The 13,178-nt window shown below is 51.9% G+C and overlaps 1 protein-coding gene across 8 annotated transcripts in view, besides 3 other annotated features; it reads left to right on the plus strand.

Annotated features, from left to right (window-relative positions):
• ZNF362 (zinc finger protein 362) overlaps window positions 1-8,262 on the plus strand; it is a 173,198-nt gene extending 164,936 nt beyond the window's left edge. For 7 of the 8 annotated variants that reach the window (XM_047447108.1, XM_047447107.1, NM_152493.3 and 4 more), the window contains 3 exons: window positions 2,480-2,558; window positions 2,690-2,848; window positions 6,473-8,262. In XM_047447108.1, the coding sequence (XP_047303064.1) occupies window positions 2,480-2,558; window positions 2,690-2,848; window positions 6,473-6,589 (355 nt within the window). In that variant the 3' untranslated portion in view covers window positions 6,590-8,262. The remainder of the gene's footprint in view (window positions 1-2,479; window positions 2,559-2,689; window positions 2,849-6,472) is intronic. The other variant, XM_047447110.1, reaches the window with a different exon arrangement.
• Window positions 2,839-3,349: an enhancer, noted in NCBI's record as "H3K4me1 hESC enhancer chr1:33760897-33761407 (GRCh37/hg19 assembly coordinates)". NCBI's record gives its function as "activates a minimal SCP1, AML or CMV promoter by ChIP-STARR-seq in naive H9 embryonic stem cells {active_cell/tissue: H9 hESC(naive)}" and the evidence as "EXISTENCE:reporter gene assay evidence [ECO:0000049][PMID:30033119]".
• Window positions 6,314-6,494: a silencer, noted in NCBI's record as "fragment chr1:33764372-33764552 (GRCh37/hg19 assembly coordinates)". NCBI's record gives its function as "represses an EF-1alpha promoter that drives an FKBP-Casp9 reporter gene in an ReSE screen in phorbol 12-myristate 13-acetate-treated (for megakaryocytic differentiation) K562 erythroleukemia cells {active_cell/tissue: K562(+PMA)}" and the evidence as "EXISTENCE:reporter gene assay evidence [ECO:0000049][PMID:32094911]".
• Window positions 6,926-7,875: an enhancer, noted in NCBI's record as "H3K4me1 hESC enhancer chr1:33764984-33765933 (GRCh37/hg19 assembly coordinates)". NCBI's record gives its function as "activates a minimal SCP1, AML or CMV promoter by ChIP-STARR-seq in naive H9 embryonic stem cells {active_cell/tissue: H9 hESC(naive)}" and the evidence as "EXISTENCE:reporter gene assay evidence [ECO:0000049][PMID:30033119]".
• Window positions 8,263-13,178: the final 4,916 nt, after the last annotated feature.

The following is a 13,178-nucleotide window of genomic DNA, read 5'->3' on the forward strand; positions in this document are numbered from 1 at the left end:
GATTCAGTCTGCCAGTATTGTATTGAGGATTTTTGCATCGATGTTCATCAGGGATATTGGTCTAAAATTCTCTTTTTTTTGTTGTGTCTCTGCCAGGCTTTGGTATCAGGATGATGCTGGCCTCATAAAATGAATTAGGGAGGATTCCCTCTTTTTCTATTGATTGGAATAGTTTCAGAAGGAATGGTACCAGCTCCTCCTTGTACCTCTGGTAGAACTCGGCTGTGAATCCGTCTGGTCCTGGACTTGGTTGTGGGGTTTAAAACAAAGGCAGTGTGAGTCCTGGGGACCCTTAAGGATTAGGTGATGGGGAGCCTAAGTAAACGAATTCCCCAGCCCTAGAGAGAATGAGGATGGGATGAAGTGAAGAGGATGCTGGCCTCAGGCGGAGTTGGTCCAGATGACCCTTAAGGTCCTTCCATTGTAGAGACGGTGCAGCAGCCTGGGATGGGATCCTGAAACATGTGACATCCAGAAATGTGCAGGGGTGCTCAGAACTGGGTCAGCCCAGCTTCTCTTGGCACAGCTGTTGTGGAAGGCCAGACCCCAGGCCTTGATCCTGAGACTGGGGCCCGTCCCTGCCCTCGGGATTCCCCATCTAGCAGGGGAGAGAAGTGTGGGAGGCCTTGAGAGTCCAGTGGGGTTGGCTCTGTGGTGAGGAATGTGCTCTGGAAGCCTGTGGGGTGAGCAGTTCGCTCGGGAGATTCCGCAGAGCCCCACTCGCCAACGAATCTGGAAGGATGAGCTGACATTTACTGGGCAAAAGAGCTGGGGAGGTCCCAGTGCTGAGGATGCAGACATAGCAGAGGTGTGGGGAGACTTATCAGACATGGCTGGCAGGGAAGAATCATTATCTGACCAGGACGTAGGGTGCGTACGAGCAGGGAGGGGATGCTGGACCACCTGGTGAAGGCTTGAATGACATATAAGGAATTTGGACTTTGTCAGTGTTTATAATGGCAGCCAATGGGCTTATTGGTAGCAGGGAGTGTTTCTTACTCAACCCTGTGTCTCTAAGTCTAACACTGGGCCTGGCCAGAGGGGCTTTAGTTTCTTTGATGAGTTTGTTGATGGGCTGATGGCAAACCCAGTCAGTGAGAGGGGCTGGGGCCTTGGAAGGAAGGAGTGGACACCCTTTTGATAAAATCTGGATATTCCCCTCCACTTCTGTTCCTCAACAAATTAGGCAAACAAGGTGCAGGCCCAGCTGGCATTTCATTGCTCACCTGCTTGGTACAGCAGATTTGCCCAAACAGATGCTTGAAGACACGCCCAGGGAGATGGTGCAAAGGCATGAGTGTGGAAAGCAGGGAAGGCCACTATTAGTGCATGCCAGGCTGCTGAGCTCCATTTGTGGACATCATCACCCAGTCCACAGCTCCATCCTCACCTGGGCTGTTGGGCAGGTACAGGGTCATCAGCCCTCAAGTCACTGCCCCAGTGTCACCTTCCTCATGAGGCCCTTATCTCCGTTTAAAACTGTATCCCTCCTTCCCGTCACTCATGGTCTCCCCATCTTGTTGTTTTTCCCACAGAACTTACTACCTTCTACATGTGATTTACTTATTTCACGCTTGTTGCTTATTTCCTCCAGGCAGTGGCTTTTGTCTGTTTTGTTCATGATATATTCCAAATACCTAGCACAGTGCCTGGGGCATGGGTACCCAATGTAATGAATGTGAATGAATAACGATAACTGGCAAACGTTGAGTGCTTACTTTGTACCAACACTAGGCTAAGCCCTTTACATGCATTATCTGATGTTATCTTCACAAAGCCCGATGAGATAGGAACTGTATTTTTATACCCATTTTGCAGATGAGGAAACTGATGCTCAGTGGTTTGTCCAAGGTCACCCAGCTGGTTAATAGCCAGGATGAGAACCCAGGAGTGGCAGGGACAGAAGGAGCTCTCAGGAAGGACACAGAGGGGCTGAGCTTCAGGGCCATGCTGTCCCACATTCTCCCATTTACTGGGGTGACCATGCAGCTGTCACGGAGATGTGCCTGACATGGGGTAGGGACAGGAAATAAGTGTCTGGGGCCAATTAGAGGGAGATGTCTCCTTCTTCTTAGGGAAGGAGGCTGGGTGGGCAGGGAAGGTCCCGACAAAGCTGTGCATCTGTGTTCTTTGCAATATGTGGTCCGTAGTGTGGGGTTTTCAAAGAGAGGGGCAGCCAAATCAGGCCCTCTCCGAGGCCTGCACTGGGTTGCTGCAAGGGCTCTGGTGGTGGGCTGGGGACAGCTGGGACCTGTGGGAAGTAGGAGGCTCTGGTCAGACTGGCAGTGGAGGCCAGAGAAGGAAGGAAGAGCCATGGCCGTTGAAGTCCCCAGCTCTTGCCTGGGCTCACTCTTGGTCCTTGGGGAGCATGGGCAGGGTAGGGACCGAGAGGCTTAGGGGCCAGAGTAAGGACTTGGGAACTGGAGCGGTCTTGGGGTGTGTGTCAGGGACTTCGACCTTACTGGGCTGCCCATTACAGAATCCACACAGGCGACAGACCCTACAAGTGCCCACATCCTGGCTGCGAGAAGGCTTTCACTCAGCTCTCCAACCTCCAGGTGAGTGCCTGCCTGCCTCCTGCCCACCAGGTGCTCTGGTGCCCCCCCACCCACCCCCACAAGGAAGCGTAGGAAGGGGGTGGGGTGAGGGAGCCCTGTTCCTCTCCTGACCCCCTGCTGTGCCCCTACAGTCTCACCAGCGCCAGCACAACAAGGACAAGCCCTACAAGTGTCCCAACTGCTACCGGGCCTATTCGGACTCCGCTTCTTTGCAGATCCACCTCTCGGCCCACGCCATCAAGCACGCCAAGGCCTACTGCTGCAGCATGTGTGGGCGGGCCTACACCTCGGTGAGTGCCGGTCGGCCTGTGCCCTGCCCCGGGGGAGCCACTTCGTCTTCCAGGCCTCAGTTGCTTCCCCATTGTCAGATCTGTGTCGACTCTTCCCATTTTCCAGACAAATTGAGGCCTAGAGAAGGGAAGTGACACCCTGAGATCACAGGGAAGGGGAGAACCAGAGCTTTTGCTTCCCACTTCTGGTTTCAGCTACCCCTGACCAAGCCCCTAGCCTCCTGCTCACCTTTAGCCTGAGTCTCCGAGGCCCTGGAGTACTCACAGCAGTGGCAGGAGGCTTTTCACCTGCTCCGCAGAGCTACAGAGAGAAGCGCCTTCCTGTCACCCAGGAAGCTGCAACCCCCATTGTGGCCACAAGGTGGCGCAGTGACATGGCCCATAGCCACCCTCATCTCAGGAAAGGCCTGAGCAGCCCGGAAAGCTCAGAGCATTCAGCTCCCGTCCCTGGGTGGGAATTTCCCCAAACGAGGGCCTTTTGGCACCCAGAAATACCATTCACCCCCAGGCGAATCGCTTGAGTGTGTGCTTCTGTTTGATCTAATATTCTAGTTAACAGACCCCGTATCCCCGACATAGAGGTCACTGAGCCTCAGTTTCCTCATCTGTCAAATGGATGAACTCACAGGGCTGTTGGCTGGCAGAGTGGTGCCAAATCAACCTGAGCTAGTACCATTATTTATTCACTCAGTCTTTACTAAACACTTCTGCCTGGTGCTCGGGCATTGGGATGAGCCAGACAGATCTATTTTTTGTCCCCAGGGAAATTAAGAACTGTTGGAGACAAGTATTAAACAAGTACACACGTAACTGTTTGACGGGAAATTGTGTAGCTGCTGTAAAGCAGAGACTCTCGGCCCTAGTCCAGATGGACATTTGGGCCGGACCTTTCCACTGTGGGCGCTGGCCTGCACGTGGCAGGGCTCTGAGCAGCATTCCAGGCCTCCATCCGCTAGATGCCAGTAGCAACCGCTCCCCAAGTGGTGACAGCCAAAAAATGTCTTCAGGGATGACACAGAGGGGCTGAGCTGCAGGGCCATGCCGTCCTGCATTCTGGAGTCCTGCATCCTGGGGGACAGCATGGCCCTGAAGCTCTGTCCCTCTGTGTCCTCCCTGGGAGCTCCTTTTGTCCCTGCCACTCCTGGGTTCTCATCCTGGCTCTTTGTCCCTGGGGGGCAAAATCACCTCAATTGAGAACCACTGTGATAAAAGTGTGTTTTGAAAGACAGCAGGGAGGACACAATGGAGCTGGGAAGGGGGATGAGTCCAGATTGACCACCTGGAGGAGCAACACTTAGGTGAAGCCTTGAAGGATAATTGGATGAGGAGGAGAAAGAGGGGAAAGAAGCTTCCATGCAGGCGAACACTGAGTGCGAACCCCCTGAGGGGTAACAAACTTGGCACGTTACAAGAACTCAAAGGAAATTAGGTCAGTTGGGGCCTTGGGGCTCTGTTAGAAAAGTTTGGATATTTTTTCAGGTGGAATGGGAAGCTACAGGGAGGGGACTGTCAGGAAGGGTTTTTTTTTTTTTTTTTTGGTATATTTTAGAGACGGGGTCTTGCTATGTTGCCCAGGCTGGAATCAAAATCCTGGGCTCAAGGGATCCTCCTGCTTCAACCTCCAGAGTAGCTGGGGCTACAGGTGTGCACCACTGTGCCTGGCAGGGAAGGTATTTTTGCAAGGTCACTCTGGCTGGAGGCTGTTCATGGATCATAGGTGGGGTTGTTGGCAGTACTTGTCAGGTGCCGGGCAGGGCTGCCACTTGCTAAGTGCTGAGTCTGTAACATTTATTCTTCCCTGGAGTTCAAAGGGCAGAGGAGGGTCAGGAGGCGAAGAGGACAGAATCTGCAGGGAAAAGGGCTCCAAAGGGGTGAGCAGGAGCCCTCGCTTGGCTAGCTGATCTCCAGTCAGTCCCTGCCTCTCTCCAAGGCTCAAGTTTTCCATAACCTCCTACACCATCAACCAATCCTGCCTCATCCATACTCCTATTTTTTGAAGTACAATCCAGACATCATACTATTTCTAAAAATTGCACTTTATCTCTCTGATAAAGACTCCTTTTTTGAGCATATCCACAATACCTTTGGAATATCAAAAAGTAATTAACCAAAGTCCTTATCATCATCAGATACTCAAATACCCGTTCAGCATTGACATTTTCATTTGTGTCACGAATGCCATGATTTGGTGTATTTACATGATTCCTCTTTTTTTTTTTTTTTTTGAGACGGAGTCTTGCTCTGTCACCCAGGTGGAGTGCAGTGGCACAGTCTCAGCTCACTGCAACATCCGCCTCCCAGGTTCAAGCGATTCTCCTGCCTCAGCCTCCCGAGTAGCTGGGAATACAGGCATGTGCCACTATGGCCACCTAATGTTTTTGTATCTTTAGTAGAGACGGGGTTTCACCATGTTGGCCAGGCTGGTCTCGAATTCCTGACCGCAGGTGATCCGCCCGCCTCAGTCTCCCAAAGTGCTGGGATTATAGGCATGAGCCACCGTGCCCAGCCTACATTATTCTTTTTAGATCAAGATCCAAATAAGATTCCTGCATCGTAGTAGCTCAGTAGATCTTTTAATCTCTAGGTCCCCTTACCCCCACTTTTTTTCTTTGTTATTTATTCACTGAAGAATAGTTTCCTAGCTAGGAATTTGCAGGTTGCTTCCCTCTGGTATTGGATAGCATGTTGCCGCCACATTTGAGGGCTTCCTCTGCTGGGTTCTGAGCATATTGAGGTCTGAAGTCAAGGAGTGGCAGGTGGGAGTACCGCCTCTGCTTCTGGCAAAGGCGATTGGAAGGATGTGGCTTAGTGTGAGGGCTTCTGGGCCTGCAGTGAGCCCTGGGTCACAACCTCACCTACCCAGTCCTGGTGCCTCAGGTCAGATCCAGCAGAGCCAGTGGAGGACATGATAGTACCCACCTGTAGTCCCAGCTACTTGGAGGGCTGAGGTGGGAGAACTGCTTGAGCCCAGGAGGTTGAGGCTGTGGTGAGCTGTGATTGTGCCACAGCATTCCAGCCTGGGCGACACAGTGAGACCTTAAGAAAAGGAAGGAAAGGAAATGTAGAGACTGGGGCAGGAGTGGACCCTTCAACCCTTACTCCATGCTAAGGGCTTGATCTTTGTCACCACAGCAACCTGTTGAGGTTGTTCCTCCCCTATGCCTGCTTACAGAGGAGGAAACTGAGGCTCAGAGAGACAAGATGACTTGTCCAAGTTCTCACCACTAAGAAAGAGCAGAGCTAGGCTCAGACCCAGTCCTGCTGCCTCACTGTCACTGGGATCACCAGCCAGATGCAGGCACAGTGCTTCACCTGGCAGACAGGGCTGAGGTTCAGCCAGTATACCCAGCTACATCCAGGTGGCAAGGGCCTGGGGGCCTGGCCCTGGAGAGCCACAGGTGGGCATTGCTGAGGGGTGAGCTCTCCAGCCAGCACTCATACTGGCAGCAGTGCAGTGTCTCTAGAACCAATGGCCGACGCCCATCTGACCCTGCAAAACTGTGGCTGTCCTCCACCCTCTGAACCGCCTACCAAGAGCCCTCCAGTGGCTGCTGGTGGGAACTGCAGCCTCTTCTCCCTCCCTTGCTGGTGGTTCCCTGTTCTGAATCTCATCCCTGCCCACAGGAGACCTACCTGATGAAGCACATGTCCAAACACACGGTGGTGGAGCACCTGGTGAGCCATCACTCGCCCCAGAGGACGGAGTCCCCCGGCATCCCGGTGCGAATCTCTCTCATCTGAGCCCACTGGAGGCGCCGCCCCACCCGGCCCACTGGCAGACACAGACCCAGGCAGCACCAGGCCCCAGCTCCCTCCGGGGGCCCTCCAGGAACCACCAAGCTCTCTCACGACCTTCCCAATCTTCCAGAAAGCTTGGTCCGCAGAAGCCCTGCCTGGTCCAGTCCGGGGGCGGCCAGGCCAACTGCAAGATTCTGGACTGTTTTGGTGGCATCCAAAGACGATCTCAGAGCACTTTGAACCTCTCTGTTGAGTTTTCTTTTTGTTCCCCACCCTTCACTTGCTTCACTGTTTTTTTTTTTTTCGTTTTTTTTTTTTAAGTTTGTTTTGGAAATAACAGAAAAGATATTTATTGGCCAGGAAGTTGGTGCTGCTAAGACCGAGAAATTTAAAGAATCGGACAGATGGACGCAGAGAACCAGAGGGCAATGTGGGACCTTCTCTTGCCATGGCCTCAGGTCTTGAGGGAAGGCTCGGGCCTAGGTTTCTGGACTGCAAAGGGGACCCCCAGGTGGGAGGGGCAGGAAGCAGCCGGAGTGAGCCCTTCGCCCCTGAGTGCCTGGCTCGCACCTCTCGAGCTGTGCCCTGGGCATCACTGAGCAGAGGGGTGCGGCAGCTTCAGGAGGCAGAAACGAGAGGGGTGGGAGATCCACAGGACCAAAGGGTGCAGTGATGGGCTGGGTGGCGGGCCCAGGGAAATGGGGTGGGGATGGGCTGGGTAAGACCTGGCCCTCCCCTGCTGCCCTGAAGACCACCCCAGTCTACCTCGGTGCTGGCCAGGAAACCTTTCGGCTACCTCTCCCACCATCCCAGACTGTGGGCAGGGGGATGGGGAGGGAGTGGGCCTGGATCTGGGACCTCCCTCCAGAATTTCCTCCAGATGGGGGCAGTGCCCAGGGAGGGGTTATTTGTCTTCCCTGCCATGGAGTGGGAATCCCCAGCCGAGGCCCTAGGCCCCTCAGCAGGGAAGGGATCCCCGGGGAGGCAGGTCCCAGGAGCAGACCCTGCCCCCAGCCCCCACAGACACACCCCAATCTGAAAGCCATGCGTGTCGGTGTATATAGGAACCATGTACAGAGCCCAGAGAAGCCCCCTACATCCCCCCGGGAAAAAAAAGAAAACTAGACAGAAACTCATCTATATATTCTGTATCTGGAGTTCCGTTTTGAATATTAACTGTGTTATTTTTATACACTTTTTAAGCCTTAACTCGCCATTGATTTACCAGTTTAACGTTTCCTGGGGTTTCTTTGCCCATGGGGTTCTCTGCCCCCACCCCCGGCCCTTTGTTTGACTTGCGTCGTCTGATACTCAGTATTGTAGCTTTTTGTCCGCATGTTACTCCCTGTAAATACGCTGTTATACATACTGTTAACACCCCTTTGCTTTTTCTATGGGACCTCCAGGCCACCATATTTAGAACTAGTTACCTTATTAAAAAAGAAAAAACAGTCTGTTGGCTTCTCAGTCTGCATCTTGGAGGCAGGGAGGTGAGGGCAGGTGCCCCTCAGACACTTCAGGAAGGTAGTTTGCATTCTATTTAAAAAAGGGAGTGGGGAGCAAATGAAAATCAAATGTGGGGGGAAAACACTAAAGGGGGCAAGAAACAAAGGAATTACAAACCCTCTGCTCTTTGTATTTCTCTGTTGTGAAGAATAAACTGTACCTGCACCCGGGTGGCGGTGGTGTTTGGCGTGCTCTGTGCGAGGGCAGGGCTGGGGGGCACCTTTCCATTGCTCCTCTCCCCTCCCCCGCCCCCCAGACTTGGAGAAGGAAGAAAGTGGCCTCTCACTGTGGGCTGGCCTCACTCCAGGTGCTGAACTGAGTGCTTTATGTTGATTGCCTCACAACTCCCTAAGAAGTGGGCAGCAAACCAAGAGAGGCCCTTTGCTAAGGATCATGCTGCAGTATAGTGGCAGTGACATAAACTGACCCAGCATTGCCTAGTTCTGGAGCCTTCTTGGATATACTAGGTCCACCAATAAGTCTCACTTCCACTGCTCCCTGAGGGGGCACCCCACCTATGTGGGGGGGGGGTCCATCATGAGTGCCTGATTTGTGGAAGTGATTCTAGTGATTGGAGGGGGAGTCCAAGACATCCTTGTCATACATTGTTTTTTCCCCATAGGAGTCAATGTTTTGACTGCCTAGGAAGGAAATTTAGTAATAAAATCCCCAAAAGCTTATCATGTCTGGCCCTGTGGAAGCACTGTGAGGGGGACAGTGCTTCCACTGTCCATGGAAGGTCATCATGGAGGTCATCTACCATGGAGGTCATCATTGGTTCGAACTCGTTTCCCTGAGTCCTCACAGTCCTCATGTGTCAAGACTTTGCTGCAAGTGATAGAAAGTCCAATCCAAACAAGGGTGTATTGGCTTATGTAACAGGACAGTGGTCAGGCCAGCTTCAGGGCTCAAAGGATGTGTCTCCAGCTCTCCACTCTGTTCTGAGTCAGCTTCAGCCTGAGGCGCCTGTGGGGTCAGCAGCTCTAGTCTCTCAGTCCCCAGGGTTCCAGCAATCAAGCCTCTTGTCTCTCTGACAAAAGCCTCAGTGTCTTCATCTGTTTTATGCTGCTATAACAGGATATCACAAACTCAGTAATTTATAATGAGCAGAAATTTCATTCTGTTCATGATAAATTCCAGTCTCATAGTTCTGGAGGTTGGGAAGTCCAAGAGCATGGTGCCAGCATCTGGTGAGGGCCTTCATGCCATGTCATCTCATGCCAGAAGGCAGAAGAGCAAGAGAGGGTGAGGCCAGGCTTGGTGGCTCATGCTTGTAATCTCAGCACTTTGGGAGGCCAAGGCAGGAGGATCACTTGAGTCCAGGAGTTTGAGACCAGCCTGGGCAACATAGGGAGACCTTGTCTCCACAAAAAAAAAGAAAAAGAAAATTGGCCAGGTGTGGTGGTGCATGCGCCTGTAGTCCCAGCTACTTGAGAGGCTGAGGTGAGAGGACTGCTTGAGCCTGGGAGGTCAGGGCTGTGGGGAGCCGTGATTGCACCATTTGCACTCCAGACTGGGAGACAGAACAAGCTCCATCTCAAAAAGAGGGTGAGAGTGAGAAAAATGGAACTCGAAGCCTCATATCCTTTTATAATCAGCATTAATCCATTCATGAGGGTGGAGCCCCCATGGCCCAACAACTCCCACTAGGCTCCAACTCCTAACACTGTTGCACTGGGGGTTGTTTCCAACACATATGTTTTTTTGGGGGGACACATTCAAACCATAGCACCCAGCAAAAGTCTAATTGGGTCTTCCTGGTTCTAACTGCATCATGTTGTGTGCTTGTTTGGCTTGGGCCTAGGGCCCATGCTCTAAGCCTGGAGTAGAGGGTGAAGCCCTCACCTTCTTTACTTTCTGAAGCACAAGAGGTTCCCTAACAGGAAACCAGAGTGTGTTACTATCAGAAGAGGAAATGGATGTGTGGTAGCCAAGAACCAGCATGTTTTCAGTAATCTCAGGGGCCTCATCTCTTTCTCTGAAATTGACCTCCCATAGCCTGCTTTGCCATGAAAGGATGGGCTCTGGCAGCCATATTTGTGTCACATGACCCCATTGCAGCCACAGCCGATTGGCCAGGGGTGGACACCTGACTCTGACTTGATACATAGGTGCAGCCAGTGGTGCATAATGGCTGTCCTGATTCATGTGAGAAAATTGTGCACACCTCTTCCAAGCTCTGCATTCAGGGAGTACTGGTAGCTTGAAATCAGCCATGGTGGGATTTACACCATGGATATTGGCCAACACTATAAATCAGGGCTTTCTTTTTCCCCAGTCAACTGCTAGACTTATACCAGCACACCACCGGACGGAGCTGACTCTCCTGTCAGATTCTCTATTCCATGAATTAGGAACAAGTTAGGAGATGGTGGGTACCTGAACTGGAAAACCCTGTAGACTGCGGTTTGGGGTGACTGTGTTGAGCTGGACACAAGCAGAAGAACAAAGCCGGCAGAGAAAGAGCAGAAATGGACCAAGGAGACCAAGAGCTAGTGGTAACCTCTGTTCCTGTCCGTCTTCATCCTCTGGCTATGTTTAATCTCCTGTTTGTTCTCACTTCAATGAGTTTAAGTTGCTAGTGGTGTGACATTGTGTTAGTTACTAAATCTGTGCCTGATCTCCTCATATGTAAAATGAGGTAAACAGTAGTAACCAACTTACAGTGTGGATGTGAGGATTAAATGAATCAATACCTGTCTAATGCTTAGAACTGGCACGTTGTAAGACCCAATATATGTCCACATCATTATTGCTGCTATTTGCCTTAGCCCTAAGGGATCTATGATCCTTATGATCAGTGATCCCTGACTGAGAGCTGAAGATGTTTGGGAATTTCTAGGGGTGGCATTTGAGCTTGCATGGCAAGGCGGGGCGGCTGGGACAGGTGGAGATTTTGCATGTAGCAGTGATGCTGAGGGGACTGAGTCTGATTTTCACTTGCTCACGTGGGGAGTGAGTGCCACTGCCCCTGGGGGAGCCTCAGGATAGGTGCTGAGGACAGTGTTGATGGTAATGGAGGCAACTGCAGAAGGAGCTTTAGCCCTCTTGTTATTCCTGCTTTAGATCCAAGTCCCTCTGTACCCACCCCCACAACCCCTCCTTAGGCCTCTGGGCTCACTAGGAGGGGAGCCATTCCCAAGGGCTGCCCACCCTGCAGCTTCCTGGAACCCCTCCCTCCTCAAGAAGATCCCCAACAACGCAAGGCTGCCTCCAGTCCACGCCTTGGAAACTCCTGAGCATGCCATTTATTCCCCCTTTAAAACAGAAATGACTGGCTGGGCACAGTGGCTCATGCCTGGAATCCCAGCACTTTGAGAGGCCAAGGCAAGTGGATCCCTTGAGCCCAGGAGTTCGAGACCAGCCTGGGCAACTTGGTGAAACCCCGCCTCTACAAAAAAAAAAAAAAAAAAGCCTGGTGTGGTGGTGCATGCCTGTAGTCCCAGCTACCTGGGAGGCTGAGGTGGGAGGATCACCTGAGCTCAGGGATGTTGAGGCTGCAGTGAGCCATGATCATAGCCACTGCACTCCAGCCTGGGCAACAGAGTGAGATGCTGTCTCAAAAACAAACAAACAAAAAACAGGAAATGACTGTTCTTTGGCAAATCCTTTGCACTCTCTGAGCATGCTGGAGAAAGGGCAGGCACGGAGAGGAAGGCAAGTTGTGTTTTCTAGAGCACCACCACAACCCCTGCAGGGAGGAAGAGTGGCATCCACATTTCACGTATGAGAAAACTGAGGCCAGCAAAGGTAAGGAACTTGTCTACCCACACACAGAAGAAGAGCCAGTTCACATCATCTCTTGCTGGCTCATGCTCAGGTATTGAATGGCCCAGCAATTGTTAGGGTCTGCAGCAATTGTTAGGGTCAGCACGTGTGGCCCTCAGTGAATGCTGCAGGGTAAGGTGGAGGACACACATCTTCCCCAGCTCACAGGCAGAAATTTTTTTTTTTTTTTTGAGACGGAGTCTCGTACTGTCATCCGGGCTGGATGGAGTGCAGTGGCACGATCTTGGCTCACTGCAACCTCCGCCTCCCAGGTTCAAGTGATTTTCATGCCTCAGCCTCCCAAGTAGCTGGGATTACAGGTGCCCACCGCCACGCCTGGCTAATTTTTGTGTTTTTAGTAGAGACAGGGTTTCACCATGCTGGCCAGGCTGGTCTCGAACTCCTGACCTTGTGATCCGCCTGCCTCAGCCTCCTAAAGTGCTGGGATTACAGGTGTGAGCCACTGTGCCCGGCCAAATTGCCTGTTCTGACACACGTGGCCCATTCTCATCTCTAATCCTGAGTCCAGAAGACCTTCTGGGTTTTGCTAATCTAGTTTAGACAGGAGACATTTTGAACTGCTTTTGAGAGGACAGATCTCTCTTATTGTCAATAGCTGGGCCTGGTAAATAGCAAGAATTGCTGCCCTACCTGGGAGTGGAGGCTATTAAAATGCAAGGTTGGTGACAATACTACATAAAAGATTCAGGAGAGCCAGGGTGAAATCCCAGTCTCTCAGGGCCCCAGTTTTCCCAAATGTCAGACAAAATCTCAGGGGCTTCAGTGGCTACCTTCCCTATCTCCTTGGCTCTGTGACCACCTTCCTGGGAGGGTCTGACGCCTTCACACTCCTATTCAGAGCCTGTGTTTCCCCACTGGGGATCAGAAGTCTAGACAGCTGCCGCGGATGTGGAAACTTCCCTCCCAGATACTGTGGCCAAATGTCGCCCTGCTATCGCCCCCAGGCCAGAAAATGTCATTTTGGACTTTGTCTAGGAGAAAAAGCCATAATAACAATTTGGGAATGTCAACTAAAGAATAAAAGTAAGTTTTTAAATAATTAAAGTTAGTGTCACTTAGAAGTCTTATTGAGGACCATCGACCAAGGCCTATGGCCCGGGAGGAGCTCTTTAGAAGGTTCTATCAGACGCTTTGAATGTAGTATTTTATTTATTTTATTGAGAGAGAGTCTTGCTCTGTCACTCAGGCTGGAGTGCAGTGGTACGATCTCGGCTCACTGCAACCTTCGCCTCCCGAGTTCAAGTGATTCTTGTGCCTCAGCCTCCCCGGTAGCTGGGATTAACAGGTGTGTGCCACC

This window comes from Homo sapiens, chromosome 1 (assembly GCF_000001405.40).
Source record: "Homo sapiens chromosome 1, GRCh38.p14 Primary Assembly".
NCBI lineage: Eukaryota > Metazoa > Chordata > Mammalia > Primates > Hominidae > Homo > Homo sapiens.